The 18,174-nt window shown below is 38.7% G+C and overlaps 1 protein-coding gene across 5 annotated transcripts in view, besides 2 other annotated features; it reads left to right on the top strand.

Annotated features, from left to right (window-relative positions):
* Window positions 1-18,174, top strand: part of CDH8 (cadherin 8) — a 389,189-nt gene that overhangs the window by 62,522 nt on the left and 308,493 nt on the right. The gene's annotated exons all lie outside the window — the stretch shown is intronic.
* Window positions 4,894-5,411: an enhancer, noted in NCBI's record as "OCT4-NANOG hESC enhancer chr16:62002410-62002927 (GRCh37/hg19 assembly coordinates)". NCBI's record gives its function as "activates a minimal SCP1, AML or CMV promoter by ChIP-STARR-seq in naive H9 embryonic stem cells {active_cell/tissue: H9 hESC(naive)}" and the evidence as "EXISTENCE:reporter gene assay evidence [ECO:0000049][PMID:30033119]".
* Window positions 16,241-17,119: an enhancer, noted in NCBI's record as "OCT4-NANOG hESC enhancer chr16:61990702-61991580 (GRCh37/hg19 assembly coordinates)". NCBI's record gives its function as "activates a minimal SCP1, AML or CMV promoter by ChIP-STARR-seq in naive H9 embryonic stem cells {active_cell/tissue: H9 hESC(naive)}" and the evidence as "EXISTENCE:reporter gene assay evidence [ECO:0000049][PMID:30033119]".

The following is an 18,174-nucleotide window of genomic DNA, read 5'->3' as shown; positions in this document are numbered from 1 at the left end:
AAGGGAAGCATGTGAACTAAGGTGCATTTCAATTATTTGAGATGGGAACATGAGGTTACATGTAGTTCTTGGAAAAGTGTTAAGTCAGTGTAGAATGACTGGATATCGATTTGCAAATTATAAATATTGAGGCAATTTAATCGGTAACTGGAGACTGACCCAGAAGTTGTGGGTCTTTTCTTTAGATCATCCTTCAGGATATGACATCTCTGGTTTATCTATTTTCATGACTTTGTTTTCCTTTTCGGTCCAGGTTTCTTTGCATCTTGTGGATGATTCCTTTGCATTACTGTGCATGTGGTTTTATTAAGCCATGGGCTCTGTGTTGTGAACAAGAGTTGGGAAGATGTCCAGATAACCACATGCACCTGATTCAGGACTCTGAAGAGCCGTACACAGTTGACCTTTTAACACTGCAGGAGTTAGGGGCATAGACCCTCACACAATGCAAAATTTACATGCAGCTTTTGACTTCCTGCAAACAAGTGCCTATTCTTGACTGGAAGTCTTACCAATAACATAAATAGTTGATTAACACGTATTTCATATGTCATAGGTATTACATACTGCATTCTTACAATAAGGCAAGCTACAGAAAAGAAAATGTTATTAAGAAAATCAGAAGGAAGAGAAAATCTATTTACTATTCATTAAGTGGAAGTGGATGATCATAAAGATTTTATCCTCATCATCCTCAGTTGAGAAGGCTGAGAATGAGGAGGAAGACAAGTTATTCTTGCTGTCTTGTGGGTGGCAGAGTCAGAAGAGGTAGAAGGGGAGGCAGAGAGTTACACTCGGTGGGTGAAACATTTATTGAAAAAAATCAGAGTATAAGTGGACCCCTGCAACTCCAATCCATGTTGTTCAAGGGTCAGCTGTAGTTATCTAAGCCTCAGAATTACTTTTGTATTTTCAGCTATTTAGACTTGAATTTTCTGTTACTTGGAGAAAGTAGCTTTTGAAGTCAGAATCAACTCTGTTTGTAAAAGCTTATAAAAACCTTAACTGAGCTTTGCATTTTTCTCTATGTAATGGTTATGCTTTTCTCTCTGAGTGGAGATCATTATGCAGACTGCTTCTTTTAAGAACCTGGGTAAAATAGTTGCTGGCACCTACAGGATCAACTGCTCTTTCAAACTCAAAAGACAATAGGAAAAATTAGGTCCATTATTACCTAGCATTCTTAGGTCATTCCATGGAAAGATTTTGATTAGCCTTGATTGGGTCATATTCCTGCTCATGGTCCAATTACATTTTCATGGAGAAGGTTATTCTGAAAACTCTGGGAACCAGGCCCAATTAAACACACACACACACACACACACACACACACACACACACACACCCACAATGTGTTCCCAGAAAAAAAAAGACAATTTTTCTTGCTAAGAGAAGAAGAGAGGTACATGCATTCTAGCTACACAGTAGATCTCAACACGACTCTATCCAACTTTTCACTGGCCCTGCCATTTCCCTTAGGAGTAATACAAGATGATTACACTACCCCATTCAAAACCCACCTAACTACAAAAATAGGAGTTTCTTGCACAACACTCCTCAGGGAGTTGAGAAGTGTATTAGTCTGTTCTCATGCTGCTAATAAAGACATATGCAAGACTGGATAATTTATAAAGGAGAGAGGTTTAATTAACTCACAGTTCCACATTTCTCGGGAGGCCTCACAATCATGGCAAAGGGCAAGGGAGGAGCAAAGTCACATCTTACATGGTGGCAGGCAAGAGAGCTTGTGCAGGGGAACTCTTATTTATAAAATCATTAGATCTCATGAGACTTATTCACTACCATGGGAACAGTATAGGGGAAACTGCCCCCATGATTCAATTGTCTCCACCTGGCCCCACCCTGACACGTGGGGATTATTACAATTCAAGGTAAGATTTGGGTCAGTACACAACCAAGCCATATCTACAAGTTTTGTTTATTTTTTTCTTACGTTGATACACTCCAATCTTCGAGTTTCTTTCTTGGCTTAGAGATTCAAATTTTTTTCAATTCTTACTGCTTTGTTTTGATGATATTGTAAAATATATACTTGATCTTCATCCTCATTTCCTGGCATACAGTTAAACTCCTTGAAATCTCCAAAGTGACGTCTTTTTGTATGCTAATGAGTTGACTGGTGGCTGGCAGCTCTTATGCAGCTCTAGCGTGGGAGCTGGTCACAGGAAAGACAGAGGCATTTCAACCCCACCCTCCAAACTCCAGGGAGGGAAGAGGGGCTGAAGGCTAAGTTGATCACCAACGGCCAGTGATTTCATCAATCATACCTATGTCATGAAGCTTCCATAAAAATTCAAAAGAACTGAATTTGGAGAGCTTCCAGAGAGCTGAACACATGGAGGTTCCTGCAGGGTGGCGTGCCCAGAGAGGGCAGGGAAGCTCTGTATGCAACCATTCCCACCTCCCTTGCTCTGTGCTTCTCTTCCATCTGATGTACATTGGTATCTTTTAAAAATATTCTATTAAACCAGAAAATGTAGTTTCCTGGAGTTCTGTGAGCTGCTCTATCAAATTTATCAACCCAAGGAGGGGCTCATGGGAATCTTTATATACAGCCTGTCAATCAGAAGCACAGATAAAACAGCCTGGGGATTGTGACTGACATCTGAAGTGGGGGCGTTCATGCACGTCCGTGTGAAGACACCACCAAACAGGCTTTGTGTGAGCAATAAAGCTGTTTATTTCACCTGGGTGCAGGTGGGCTGAGTCCAAAAAGAGAGTCAGCAAAGGGTGGTGGATTATTATCAGTTCTTATAAGTTTTGGGATAGGCGGTGAAGTTAAGAGCAATGTTTTGCGGGCAGGGTGGATCTCACAAAGTACATTCTCAAGGGTGGGGAGAATTACAAAGAACCTTCTTAAGGGTGGGGGAGATTACAAAGTACCTTCTTAAGGATGGGGGAGATTACAAAGTACCTTCTTAAGGGTGGGGGAGATTACAAAGTACATTGATCAGTTAGGGTGGGGAAGGAACAAATCACAATGGTGGAATGTCATCAGTTAAGGCTGTTTTTACTTCTTTTGTGGATCTTCAGTTACTTTAGGCCATCTGGATGTATACGTGCAAGTCATAGGGGATGCGATGGCTTGGCTTGGGCTCAGAGGCCTGACAGGGGCCAGTCTTGTGGGACTCAGCCCTCAACCTGTGGGGTCTGATGCTATCTCCAGGGAGACGGTGTCAGAACTAAGTTGAATTAGAAGGCACCCAGCTGGTGCCTGATGCAGAATCTGTAGAATTGATTGCTTGTTTGGGGTGGGGAAAATCCCCCATGCATTTGGTCACAGAAGCGTTCTGTGTCATGAGAGCAGAATAGGGAAAATAGTTATTTATTTTCTCACAGAGTTCCTCATTTTTCTTTTATTTTTTTCAGCTTTATTTATGTATAATTGACAAATAAAAATTATATATTTTTAAGGCGTACAATGTAACATTTTGATACACATATACATTGTCAAAAAATTACCATTATCAAGTTTCCCATTTTTCTATGCCTTTAATGACTTTTATTTAACTTCTACTTATGAACAGAAACTTTCTCTAAATTTTTCTGCTTCATTTTCTTCTCTTATTTTTCCCTTGAGTTTGGATATCACTTGGATCATGCTGACATACAAATATGTGTCTCTAAACTAAGTCTCTTTTTTTAAGTTTCTAAATCACATGGCTAATGTTTCTACCTAGACTTCTACATCAGCACATTAAGCTCAAGTTATCTTGGTGTAATGCAGAGTACATGGATTATGGCATCTTACTAACTTAGGTAAAAGTTCAGCATCCCAATTTTAATAATGGGGTGACCTTGTAGAAAGTAATGTATATTGTGGAGCATGTTTAATATAGAGCTAATAATAGATGCCTTTAAGACATATATTGAAGATCAGAGATACTATGTGTGAAGTCCTGAGCAGCTGGCCTAGCACATAGCAGCGAAGGAGGTTACCATTATTATAGTATTTCAAACTAAGAGAACAGATTTCTTTTTCAGCATTCACATAGCAACCCCAAGGGAAGAAGCATCTTCATTGGTGGCTTTGAGTCACACACCTATCTCTGGGTCTAAGCATTGTTGTTTAGAAGATGGGCTCATGCTTGATTGATGCTCTCATATCACAGTCCTGGGAACTACTTCCATACACTGGATTTATTTTCATGCCACTACACTTAAGGGGAATGCAATATTTAGTAAGGGGATCAGGAATGAGACTATACACATCTTATTCCACCGGTTGTCCAGTACACAGTGAATCTATCAGATGGTCAGTAAATCTTTGTTAAATTGATGAATGAAATGCATTGGCAAATAATATAATATCTAATATCTCTTTATATAGATAAATGATCATATTTGGATGATTGTCTGATACTGACCGAAATAGTCTGTTAGAGCTGGGAGAGGCATCGGAAGTTATTTAATACATTCCATAGATAAGCCCATGTAGGGCTTCTCTGCACTCTGGATATTCTGTCATGGATTTCAAAATAAAATGTAAGCACTATTCAAGAAACCAGCTACGTGCCAAGAAAGATTCAGAAAGGGAAGATTCAATCTACACTGAATCCGTTCAATGATGGGTCTGCCATTGGAGTTAGCTTTCTGAAGTGGTTTTCTGTGCTTGTTTCTGGTTATGTTCCCGAAGTTCTGAGAATTCTCACTGTCAGATGCCCATCCTCACTCCACAGCACTTACTCTGAGAACCGGGAGTTCTATTTGTTTTGAGTCATTCAGATCATTATTGCCCATATAAGGGGAAAGAGATAGGGCTTTTTAACACATACCAACACCATCGCTTTTATTTCTGTTTCTCCTTAAACATGAAGCTCTGACTGAGAAGGTTTTATTTCAGTTCCTTTTTGTGTAAATCCAAACCCTAGATCTGTGCATCTCAAGAATCTTGGACTCTGAGCATTCTGCTATGGTCTTTTGCCAAGAAAAAATAATCCATATGCAGTAAAGGGAAATTGGGAGATGTCCTCACCCTTTCTGGGAGCAGTGGAGAACTTGTTTTAGATGAGCTGCCTGCACCTTGTCAGGCTTCACGCCGCTTTCTCAAGCAGCACTAAAGGAAATGAACTAATGATAGCTGATGCTTGTGATCGGCAAACTCCCTCCTGCCGCTTAGAATTGGAATGTGAGTGAAAGCTGTGGGGGCCTGGGCCAACCCTGACAGAAACAGGTTTTTAACAGCATGAATTTATGAATCCAGTCAATGCAAATGAGAGTTTATTATGCTTGGAGTCTAAAAAACGATGCCTCATTTATTAAATTAAGCTGCAGAAAGTCTATTCAGATAATGTTAAATGGTAGTTTTTATACTAAAAGCTAGGCTTTTCTTTCATCGATTCTGCTTATTTGATAGTGTTATTTTATACTCTGCTTACAAGGGAAGGGAGGATAAAGACTTGGAGATGGAGAGGATTGTGATTGCAGCCAGGTAACACTGGATTTGACTCACCATTGTGCCCTTTACCTGTCCTAGGTCTCACAGCTTTTGAGAGAACCTTTATCACCTTTAGAATGGGCATAATTACCTAAGCTGTAAGATTGCAGTGAAAGAGTGGGAAAAACTTGACACATCACTCAATAGACGAGGGTGAATGAAAGGAGGAGGAAAAACCTTCAGATACTTAACCTGTTTCATTCTTTCTCACAGAGTAGTTTTTGAGTCATGTGCATAAATTTCTATTCATTTGTAATTTTTTGGAAGTGGATCACAGGAATTTGCATAAAACTACCCTCCAGGTAACCCTGATTCCAGTTAAAGAACCATTGTTCTTAAAATAATGATCTCTAGGCCCAGCCCGGTTGCTTATGTAATCCCAGCTCTTTGGGAGGCCAAAGCGGGTGGATCGCCCAAGGTCAGGAGTTCGAGACCAGCCTGGCCAACAGGGTGAAACCCTGTCTCCACTAAAAATACAAAAAATTAGCTGGGCGTGGTGGCGGGCGCCTGTAATCCCAGCTACTAGGGAGGCCGAGGCAGGAGAATTGCTTGAACCCAGGAGGCGGAGGTTGCTATGAGCCAAGATCATGCCATTGCACTCCAGCCTGGGTAACAAGAGCGAAACTCCGTCTCAAACGAAATAAATAAATAAATAAATAATCTCAATTTAAATTCAACTGTCGTATAAGTACAGATTGAGCATCCCTAATCTGAAAATCCCAAATCCAAAAGCCTTCAAAATCTGAAACTTTGAGAGAGGACATAATGCCATAAGTGGAAAATTCCACCCCTGACCTCAGTCACAGTCACAACTCTGTTTCATCAAAAATTATTTAAAATCTTGTATAAAATTGTCTTCTGGCTACATGTATATGATGTACATGAAACATAAATGAATTTCCTGTTTAGACTTTGTTTCCATCCCCAAGATAGCTCTGTATGTATATGCAAATATTCCAAATTATTTATAAAGAAATCCCAAATCCTCCTGGTGCTAAGCATTTCAGATAAGGGACACTCAACCTGCAATAAGAATATTTTAATCCCAGCATGAGATTTTTCACTTGGTTACTAATTATCGGCATTAACACATTGGGAGGAAATGTGGTGGTACTGGAAAGAGAGAAATAAAACCTACACACTATTTGCAATCATCCATACATGGGATATGTTGGCATGTCTACCTTTTACAAACTGTATGACTTAACTAGTATTTTATCTCTTCTAAGATGGCCATTCCTCTTCTCTTTATTTTTTAGGGACAGGATCTTACTCTATTCCCCTATCTGGAGTGCAGTGGCACAGCCATATCTTACTGCAGCCTCGGACTCCTGGGCTCAAGGGATCTTCCCGTCCCAGCCTCCTGAGTAGCTGAGACCACAAGTGTGTGCCACCACACTTGGCTATTTTTTTTTCTTCTAGAGAGGGGGTTTTGCTGTGTTGCTCAGGCTGGTCTTGAACTCCTGGCCTCAGGTGTCCTCCCGTGTTGGCCTCCCAAAGTGTTGGGATTACAGGTGTGAGCCACCATGCCTGGCCCATGTTCCTCTTCTTTAAAGTGAAATTATCCTCTCATATTTTTCATGGTTGCTTTAGCTAATAAATGAGTTAATGCATGTAAAGGTTCTAGTGCAGGGCTTTGCATGAAGTGGTTGTTTTAGAATTCTAGCCTTCTCTCTACTTAAGTGCTAAAATTAAAAATTGCTCATTGTTTATTTCTATATTTTAGAATGCATTGATTTAGTTGATTTAATTTTGATTTGATTTAATTTTGATTTGAAGCAATGTATTCTTAAGTGTTCTTATTGGACACATTCTGTGATATTAAGCTAATTATATAGTTGAATATTTAGGGAACTACTCTGTGTGTGTTTCTGAATAACCACATTCTTTTCATTCTTTTCTTCTTCTTTTTTTTTTATTTTGAGATGGAGTCTTGCTCCGTCCGCAGGCTGGAGGGCAGTGGCACGATCTCAGCTCACTGCAACCTCCGCCTCCCAGGTTCAAGCAATTCTCCTGCCTCAGCCTCCCAAGTAGCTGGGACTACAGGCGAACACCACCACACCTAGCTAATTTTTGTATTTTTAGTAAAGATGGGGTTTCACCATGTTGGCCAAGGTTGTCTAGATCTCTTGACATCGTGATCTGCCCACCTCTGCCTCCCAAAGTGCTGGGATTACAGACGTGAGCCACGGCGCCCGGCCCACATTCTATTTTTTATTGATAAATTATATCAACATACAAGTTGGGTTCCTCTCAAATTAGCACCATTTTATGTCTTCTTGAAAAAAGCATAATAAATATGTAGACTAAGACATTGTTTTATACTCTTCTCTTCAAAGTAACATTTTCAAAGAAGGGATTTGGCCTAATAAAGTTTTTTGCGATAAAATCAATGAATTAATTGCTATTTCTTCCTAAATCTTGCAAGCATTTTTTTATTTTCATCCTAGCAAGCCAATTTTGCTAACCCTTTAATAGTGTCACATTTTTGATCAAGGCATAAGGTGTTACCAGAACAATTAGTTGTCAGGATTCTGGTGTAAACAGAAGGATAATACAGGAATATGCATTCTCCATACATGTTATGCTAAAGAGCTGCTGCAAATGAAAGGAATTAACATATGTTATGGCTCATTTTCATGAAAGTGCCCACTTTCAAATGAGTAGACCTAGTTAGAAATGTGTAGTCATAATGTCCCCCAAAGTACACTAGCACCAGGCCTGTCCTTATCAGCATGTTTTACCAGGAAGGCAGGCAGTTGTAAAATGCTTTTGTGTATATGTTTCTTCTAGTCCTTGCTTTTGTTCTTTCATTTATTTAGAATCAAGTTTGGTAGCAGGAGACAGGAGTTACTTTATGAGACATCCACCTTATGTGAGCTTATTTTAAATTTTACTGATAGTTTTCTGAGAGCCATAGAAACCTTACAGAAAGTTGGGTTGTTAAATACTGGAGTTAGGGGACTTTGCTATTGTGAACCTTGGGTTTCATAAAGGGGTCCTTGGAATATTTAGTAAACATGTGTGAAATAACTGCCCCACGCCTGGCCCTGTGTTGGATACTGGCAGTTCAGCAGTGGACGTGATCCCAGCCCTTATGAAAAGGTGACTTGCTTTTGGTTCTTCCTTCTCTGCAAGAATGTAAGCAGGTTGATAAATTAAGCATCAGAATGGGAAATTGGCTGCGAATAAAACAAACCAGGTGCTGATAGAAAATAACAAATGAGTAGGGGAAGTCTATGTTAGATGAAATGGTCATAAATGGACCACTTTGTACGGTTAGTTAGACAGAAGTGATGCCTACTTGAGGGGATTTTCACATGCTGTTTCTTATATTTTGAACACAGATGCCCCCAACCTCAACCCCCAAAGCCAGAGGATGAACAGATGTGGGAGAAAAAGAAATTCAGATATAAAAACCAGCATGTAGCAAAGGCCTTGGGGTAGATGGAGGTAGGAAAGAACTAGATGTATAAGAGGAACTCAAAGGCTTCTGTGGTAGAGGCCAGATTATGTAGAGCTGAGTAGGATGCTGTCAGGAATTCGGATTTTATTGTTTTTGCACAGGAAAGCAATCAAAAGATTTTAAACACAAAAAGACATAATCAAATTCACATTTAAAAAAATCAATCTATTCTCTACAAAGCAGTAGGGTAGGATGGAAGGAGAAAGGTGGTCAGTAAGCAATCTAGAGGGCCAACACTTAAGTTAGGAGAGAGAATCGATTGTGCTCTGTAGAGAGGGACAGCACCAGATGATGGATCCATTGACGATTTCAGGGCAGACCGAGGCCCAGAGAAAGCAGTGCTATACTCAAGGCCACAGACCCACTCAAGAGTTGAGCTAGGACCTCAGCCAAGTACAGCAGGTCCCGGAATAACCTGGTTTCATTCAAGATTGTTTTGGTTGAGGAAAAAAAAAAAATCTCTCAGCTTGGGCCATTGTGTGGAGCCTGCACGTTCTCATCATGTATGCCTGGGTTTTCTCTCCTTCCGGTTACTTTTCCCATCCCAACGATATGATTGTTATGTGAATTGGAGTGTCTAAATGGTCCATTGCAAAGCTAGTGTGGATGTGTGTGAGAGTGTGTCCTGCAGTGGAATGACCCCCTGTCCTGGGCGGTTCCCACCTGGTGCCCTGAACTGCCAGGTTAGAATCCTGCCATCCTCAACCCTGAACTGGAATAATTGGGTAGGTTATTATCTTACTTGTTTCTATTAATCTTTTTAAAATGTATGTAGAACTCACAATTATTTCAGTGTTTAATACAAGAGATGTTTTGGTCTTTAGACATTTAGTGATGGTTTTGTGACTGGAAACATTCCATAGGAACCTTTTAAGTCTTGTTGATATCTATTGGCCTATGATATAATAAAATTGGTTTTATTGTAAGTTGTTTGGCTTAAAGTTTCAGTTTCCAAGAACCGTTTGAGGATATTAAGTGAAGACTTACTGTATTTTAGCCCCTAAGTCTGTGTTCATTGTAAACAGGTGAGGCTTGAAGGACTTTCTAGAGAGAAATGCCCGAGAGCCTAATTGTGTTGCCATTGGCTGCTTCTTTTTCTGTAGAGATAAGCAAGATAGAAAGGGTTTGAACAAACTTAAAAGTGTGTTTCTAAGCATTCACTTATGTCTGACATGTTAGAAGATTCTCAAGTAATGAAAATATTAACAAAAACTCAACTACCATCAATCAATTAACATTGAGGAATATTTGATTCCTCAAATATTCAGGAACAGTGGGAGCTTGAGAAAGACTTTAGAAAGTGGGTAGTTTGTTATTTCCCAAGGCATGACCTCTTCCTTTCTCTTTCAGTCCTTATCACAATGGAGAACAAAGTCTCACTTTATCGTTAATTTTTAGTGAGTATTAAAAAGGGAGATTAACACCTCCCTTGGCCTGAGGCCCCTTCTGTCTTTCTTAGAGCCTTTGGCTGGCAACAGCATCTAGACAGAATTTAATAACATTGCTTTGTTTTCATTGAATTTATTTTTATGATTATGTTTATTTATGGCATGTGATACAGGTTTGCTGTTACAATGGTGATATAAAGTTGTTTTTGAAATAAATTTGAGTAAAAAGTCAACTTAAAGACAAAAGTAAAAATGTTGTAGATGGAATGGGTATATAACAAACATGATGGAGTATTTTAGACACCTTGTGTCAATTACTGCACTGATGGTCATGGTGACATGGAAGGGACATGGAGGAAGGGTGTGCCTAGGGTCCAGTTTTTTGTCTCCCCCCTCCCCACCATGCCTTATCATTCCTTGCTTTGCTTTCTACTCTGGGGAAGACTCAATTTCCCAAAGTGATGTAGTGAATGGAAGATACAATATGGCCCTGATATTCAGAATCCAACCTCATAATTGGAATGAACTTAGGCAGAGAAGAATTAATTTACGTGTTTATCGACAGGAAAAATTTTAAGGTAAACTGTGCTTTATTTGTTCCATGGAATGGTGCATAGTCATTAAAAATACAACATTGATGTGAATACAATGTTACAACAGAATTCTAAAATAAATTCAATGAAAAAAAGATCAAAAGATGTTACATAACTTTGCTTTATTTCTCTCATTTCCATAAAGAAAAAAAACAGAAGTGTTATATGCATAGTAACATAAATGTGTACACTGAATGTCTAAAAACATTCACCTGAGGAAGTTATAAATTTTTGCTTCAGGCAGAGTTGGGAGGTTGGATGTGAAGAAAGGCTTATTTTATATTTTACACAATTTTATACTTTTGTTCCGTTTTGCCATGTTATGCCATACTTTTGTTACAAAAACAGAAGGAACAGCATACGTTCAGTTTTGAACAGAAAGGAGTAAAGCACCAATTTTAAGTCAAAGCTCATTAACTCCTGCTGTATTATAAGTGATGCTTCAGGCCAACAGCCCCAGACTAACTGGGCTTGCAAAAATGTGCTCAGAACTCTCTTCGAAGGGCAGGTTCATGCAGATCATGTGATGGTACAGAAAATGCTGAGTGTGATGGTCATACACTCAGGTAATACACTCAGGTACCGTCATATACTCCGGTAATACAAAGGTCACACCCTCAGGTAATTATATCTTCCTGCCCCACTTCCCCCACACCCTCCATCCTGACCCCATGCCTGCTGTACCTCATCTGAGGGTTCAATGCTATGCTCACTTGCATGGAGACATGCTTACTTAGTACAGCTGGCCCTTGACAATGTGAGTTTGAACTTTATGAGTCCACTGGTACATAGATTTTCTTCTGCCTCTGCCACTTCTGCGACAGCAAGACAAGCCCCTCCTCCTCCTCCTCCTCTTCAGCTACTCAAGGTGAAGACAATGAGGATAAAGTTATTTCTGATAATCCACTTCCACTTCATGCACAGTAAATATATTTTCTCTTCCTTATAGTTTTCTTAATAGCAATTTCTTTTCTCTAGCTTATTTTAATTCTAAGAATAGAGCATATAATGTCTATAATATACAAAATATGTGATAATCAACTATTTACATTATCAGTACACAGAAGGCTATTAGTTAAGTTTTTTGGGGGAGTCAAAGTTGTAAGTAAATTTTCCACTGTGTGGAGAATGGGGCTTCGGACCCCTAATCCTTGTATTGTTCAAGGGTCAACTGTACTTGTATTGCTCTCCTTTTTAATAAATTTAAAAATATATTTATAGAGTTTCTACTTTTTGCTAGGCATTGTTCTAGGTATAGAGGCACAGAGGTGCACAAGACTGATCTTACCTAACATTTTTCTTTTAATGTGAAACAAATGAACAACTCACCTTCTAATGGAAGAGAGCTACAGTTGTGGGTGTGCTATTTATTAGGCTGGGTTAGGAGATAAAGAGTAGTAAACAGAAGATTCTTCCGTGAAGAGGAAACAGGAGAGCAGAGACTGGAATGAAAGCCTATGAAGCTCTTTCCCTGAGACAAGAAGCAGCTGGGCAGATCTAAGGAAAAAGAAGAGAACAAGGAAGCATGACCACAGTGTGGGAGACAGAAAAGAGAGAGGACAAGGAAAGAGAGAAGCAGGTAGAACTCATCAGCCATGGACAGGGATTTGCCGGAGAAGTGTTTGACAGGGATTCGCTGCTGCTGGAGATGTTCAGTGGGCGAATGATGTGATCCAATTCATGTTCTTTTTTTTTTTGAGACTATGTCTCACTCTGTTGCCCAGGCTGGAGAGCAGTGGTGCGATATCAGCTCACTGCAACCTCTGCCTCCCGGGTTCAAGCGATTCTTCCGCCTCAACCTCCCAAGCAGCTGGGACTACATGTGCGTGCCTCCACACCTGGCTAATTTTGTATTTTTAGTAGAGACAGGGTTTCACCATATTGGCCAGGCTGGTCTCAAACTCCTGACCTCGAGTAATCCACCCGCCTTGGCTTCCTAAAGTGCTGGAATTACAGGCATGAGCCACCGTGCCCAGCCCCAATTCCTGTTCTTATAGAGATCCTTCTGTCTTCTTTAAGGGGCGGGGTGACCTGTAGGGAGACAGGAGGAGAAGCAGGGAGCCCATCTGAGATGCTACTCTGATTTTCATAGAACTTTCATAACTTTATTGAATGCAAATCCTCAGAGAATGCAGACAAGGGAAAGTGGGCAACATGAGGTGAACAATCTTGAAGCTAGCAGCGAGAGGTCTGGCAATATATTTTTTTAAAAGGATGAAGTATACTCTTCAGTTTGCCCACGAAGATCCAGCCAGTCAAGACTGATTGGTAGTGGAAGGCAAAGGAAGAAAGAAAGGGCGAGAGGGAGGAAGGAGGGCAACAGGTAAGCAAACTGAATGAAAAAGGGGGAACAGCTCTGAATTAGCAATAATTCATCCATTTGCTCAGTTATTTATACTGCAGTTCTTTCAACATCAAGAGTCTTTTTGGGCACCAGCTTATGGGCTCAATATTCCCCGCTTTATTACTAAGAAAAAATAGTTAAACACTTTTACCGAGTGATGGCAATGTGACAGACTTTGTGCTGAGGACAGAATATATGTATACTCTCTCTGTGTTTGTGTGTGTATTTTACATATGTATGTGTATACACACACACATATATGTATATATGTATGTGTATACACACACACATGTATATATGTATGTGTATACACACACACATGTATATATGTGTGTATACACACACACGTATATATGTGTGTATACACACACACGTATATATGTGTGTATACACACACACGTATATATGTATGTGTATACACACACACATGTATATATGTGTGTATACACACACACATGTATATATGTATGTGTATACACACACATATGTATATATGTATGTGTATACACACACACATATGTATATATGTATGTGTATACACACACACATATGTATATATGTATGTGTATACACACACACATATATGTATATATGTATGTGTATACACACACACATACATACATATATGTTGTGTGTGTGTGTGTATGTGTGTATATATATATATATATATATATATATATATACACACACACACACATACACCACATACAGAGAAAGATTTGTTAAGGTATAATGACCATATCCTCCCTCTGTGTGTGTGTATATATATTTACATATAAACACATATACACATATATATGCACACATATATACATATATGTATATATATATACACACACACATACAGAGAGAGAGAGATTTGTTAAGGTATAATGACCATATCCTCCCTGTCTCTGTGTGTGTGTATATATAGATATATAGATATCATACATATGTGTGTGTATATATATGTGTATATACACAGACACACATACAGAGAGAAAGATTTGTTGAGGTGTAATAAACATTTCCTCCCTCTGTCTCTTTCTGTGTATGTGTGTGTATATATGTATGCGTATATATATATATACACACACACACATCTCTCTATATACATACATATATATATACACACACACACACACAGAGAGAGAGAGAGAGAGAGGGAGGATAAGGCAGGGCTGGCTTTTGCGAGTAACCAGTAGAGTCCCACAGGTGTCTGTTACCCCAAGGGGCCCTATGCTTTGATGAATCCTCTGCTGTCATTGTCTCGAGATTCTTAATTTTTCAAAAGTGAAGTTCTATGGGACAAAGAAGCATTCACGTAAGCAAAAGAGAGATGTGGAAGAAAGGAAAACACCCTTTATATTTAGTATGTTAAATGATGTCTTTTTTTCTTTTTTTCACATTTGTGTTTTGTACTGGGCACCACAAGGTCTATAGTTAATTCTGCAGCCAGGCAGGTGAATAAGTATAGTAGAGCCTGGCCTTTCCTATGTGAGAGGTGCCCACAGATAGGAATAGAATGGAAGTATTTAAGTTAGATGAAGGTGAGAGATGGAGATGGGGGAGAAGGTGTGTTAAAGAAGAATTTCAAGAAAAAGTGAGAATCAAGTTGATTTTTGAAGGAAAATCAGAAGTTGGCCAAATGAGAGAAAGGATTTCAGGCAGAGAGGACAAGCAACATGTGTGAATGTGAAAAGTTATGATCGGGCTGTGTGTAGCTGGGAATTTTGTACGGTCTCTAAGGCAGTTGTCCAGGGAATGGCCTGGGGGTTATACTGATGGAGATGGAGCTAGAAAGAAATGGTCAGGGTCAGATCAGGGAGAGCCTCCTGTGTCATACTCTTGAGTAGAGAAGGAAATTGTCTCTGAAATACTACTCTTAGTAGATAATCTTAGTAGATAATCTCAGATGTGGAGAATGTTTTCAAGAGTGTGACAATTGTAATTATTGAGTATTATATGACACTCCTGATACAAATAGTTTCATATGCATTATTTTACTTCATAAAATAATTCTGAAGATTATGATCAATCTCTATCATGGATGAAGAAACTGAGGATCAAATCTGTGATTCTCCAGCCAGGAGGCTTTAGAGAAATTTGACTCCAGAGCCCACCCTTCTAACCTTTATATTTTTGCTTCCCTGTGGAATCATAGATAAAGAGCAATGGTATACAAAAGGCTTTGACAAATTGACAAGGGTTGACCTAAATTATAAGGATGATAGAATTTTATTATGTTGCTGTTATGGATGAATGTGACAATATTGCTTTCTTATATTGATGTAGTTCTGCTTTGTTTAGCTGCTTTCCCACATATCATCATACTCGTACAGGTACATTCAACTTTCAAATAGATCAAAGAACAATCATGACTTCAAGGCTGCATGCTTGCTTTTCTTTTGACTGGAGAGCACTTCCAAGCATTCTTTTATTTAGCTCAACCCCAGATGGTCCACCTAGGCTATCATCAGCCTCAGGAATTTTCCCTGTCTCATGCAGGTTGGCTTGGCTTTCCAAGCTCTGTGCTTCTTGATTGCTAATCATCCACAGGGTTTGATCAATTTATCCCCCTCTCCCACAAGATATAGCTTTTTGAGGGCAAAAACTCTTTTATTTCCACATACTCTATTCAGTCCCTAGAATGGCCTGTAATATAGCCAATGCACATTTATATTGCAGCGTATGTTAACTATCAATTACCCAAGTAGAATTACCCATCTAATAGAGTCCCCAGTATTAACAGAACATTGTATTGAGTGGCTGTTCTAAAGCAGACCCTGCACTAGGTTCTTGGAATATAAAGATGAAGGGAAAGATGTGATAGAGATGAACCAGAGGAGGGAGAGGAAATGGCTTTCTGTACGGTGGTCAGCAGAGGCGGGATTACATTCAAGCTGTAAATTGAAGAGTGAGAAACCAGACATGAAAAAAATCACGTTGAAAATATTTCATGCATGAATAATATAACAAGTCCTAAGGATCTGTGTTATGGGAAAATTTGGCATACTCAGAAAACCTGTGTGGCTGGAACAGAGTCAATGAATGCGTGTGCATGTGTGAGCATATGTATGTTTGTGTTCATATATCTATATATGTTCATATATCTATATATATTTTAGTTGGTCTTTTCATTTCCATCCTATATCCTGCCCTCTTCTCTTTTGTACCTGAGCCGAATGGCTATTTAAATAGTTTGGAACCTCTTGAAGTCACATTAACTAGTGTTCTTTTTCATACAAACTGTGACTCTGACAGAAAGAGAGCGTTTCCAATGTGTTCCTTTTAAACTACACTTAGCTGCTGCTTGTGGCTCTTAAATCGACATTCTTTCTGGCTTCCTTGAAGGGAACAATCAGATAGACTGTAGGTGGTCTTGCTTAGACATTTGAAGCTTTATTCTTAGACAAATACTGCCAGGATATCCTTTGATTCCTGAGAGCAGCTAGAACCTTTCAAGGTGTGCGTGCATATGTGTGTGTATGTGTGTGTATCTGCATGTCTTAGGGGAGGAGGAAGGACTATTAACTTTGATCTCTTGAGTCTCTGATTGTGTAATTAAGAATCAATTGGCCAAAACCTAATTTTGAATATATAACCATTTCTACTAACTTGCTTCTGCTGAAATGATTTGCCAAGCAATATTACATTAACACCTAATCTACTCTGAAAATCAGTTGGAAATACTAAATTACCCAGGTACATCTAATGTTCTTAATGAAGCGTCTGCATTTTATTGAACACAAGGACTGACCTAGGAATATGGACTATTTTGACCACAAGGAGGATGAAAGTGGGTTGGAGAGAATGCAGGTAATCATGCAATGTTAGTTTTAAGGACCCTACAAACTAGACCACCTACATGAAGAACTTCAAGTCCATCCCTGAGGGTGCCGGGTAAAGAAAATCAATACCAATAAAAATACTATTGAAGTTGGAATGAGTTGCACAGAATTGAGCATTTTACCTCATTTTTATTCTTTTATTTTATTTCTGTTTTATACTTGAGAAGTAAAATAAATTCCTGCCAAGGAAATACAAACTTGTTAAGCAGCATCATAAAAATACTGTTCAGGGACTTGGTATTTTTATGGTAAAAATAGATACTGCTTTGTGTTTATGCATATTAGGCTTAATTTGCCCTCATAAAACAGAATTTGCATTACCTTGGGTATGCTGTTTGGAAATTAGATAACATTAAAGAATATAATAGAACACAATGTAAATTTACTCCCTTTCTTTCCTCTTTTTCAAGATGGATTATTTGGAGTTAGTGGTTATTTGAGTAAATTGTAGACATTTTCTTTGAGTTTACCTTAAGATAAGGTAAGGCTTGTGCTTTTTCAAAGGTTGTCTTGCCTCTTTTAGAACAAAACAAACACATAAATATCACTTCTGTTATGCAATGAACATTTTTAAAAAAGGAGATCAGAAGAGATTTTTAACTTCAGCGTGTAGATATTCTTAAAAAGTGAATGTATATGAGTGTTTCTATAGTGTGTGTATACAAATTTTTGACAACTAGTTTACAGGGTTGATACTCTTTGTCTTATTACTAAGTTATACATGGAAATTTAGAAAAAGTTAAACATATTTTAATATTTTCTTCCTTTTATTTGAACACTAATGTAGTTAAGTGATTGGATACAATTATTTGTAAGCTTAATAATTTTAATGTAAATAAAGGTATTTGAATTATTGTAATAAAGAACTCAGTTCTACCTGTTTGTTTAATTGTGGGATAGCTTTTATTTACATGCTATTGTACTCTCAGATGGCAACGGTGATAATGGAACTGTGTATTTGGGGGCACTTACTGATTAAGAATATCCCAGCAGTTAAACATTTGCCATGGAGAGAACCCAATAGTTTTGAATTTTCCAGAAGCCCTAGAAGATGCATCTTTACAAGATACTAGGCACTGTAATTGAGCTGGTTTG

This window comes from Homo sapiens, chromosome 16, assembly GCF_000001405.40.
Source record: "Homo sapiens chromosome 16, GRCh38.p14 Primary Assembly".
Taxonomy (NCBI): Eukaryota; Metazoa; Chordata; class Mammalia; order Primates; family Hominidae; genus Homo; species Homo sapiens.
The sequence above is the reverse complement of the archived record's forward strand: the minus strand, read 5'-3'. Positions and strand labels throughout refer to the sequence as shown.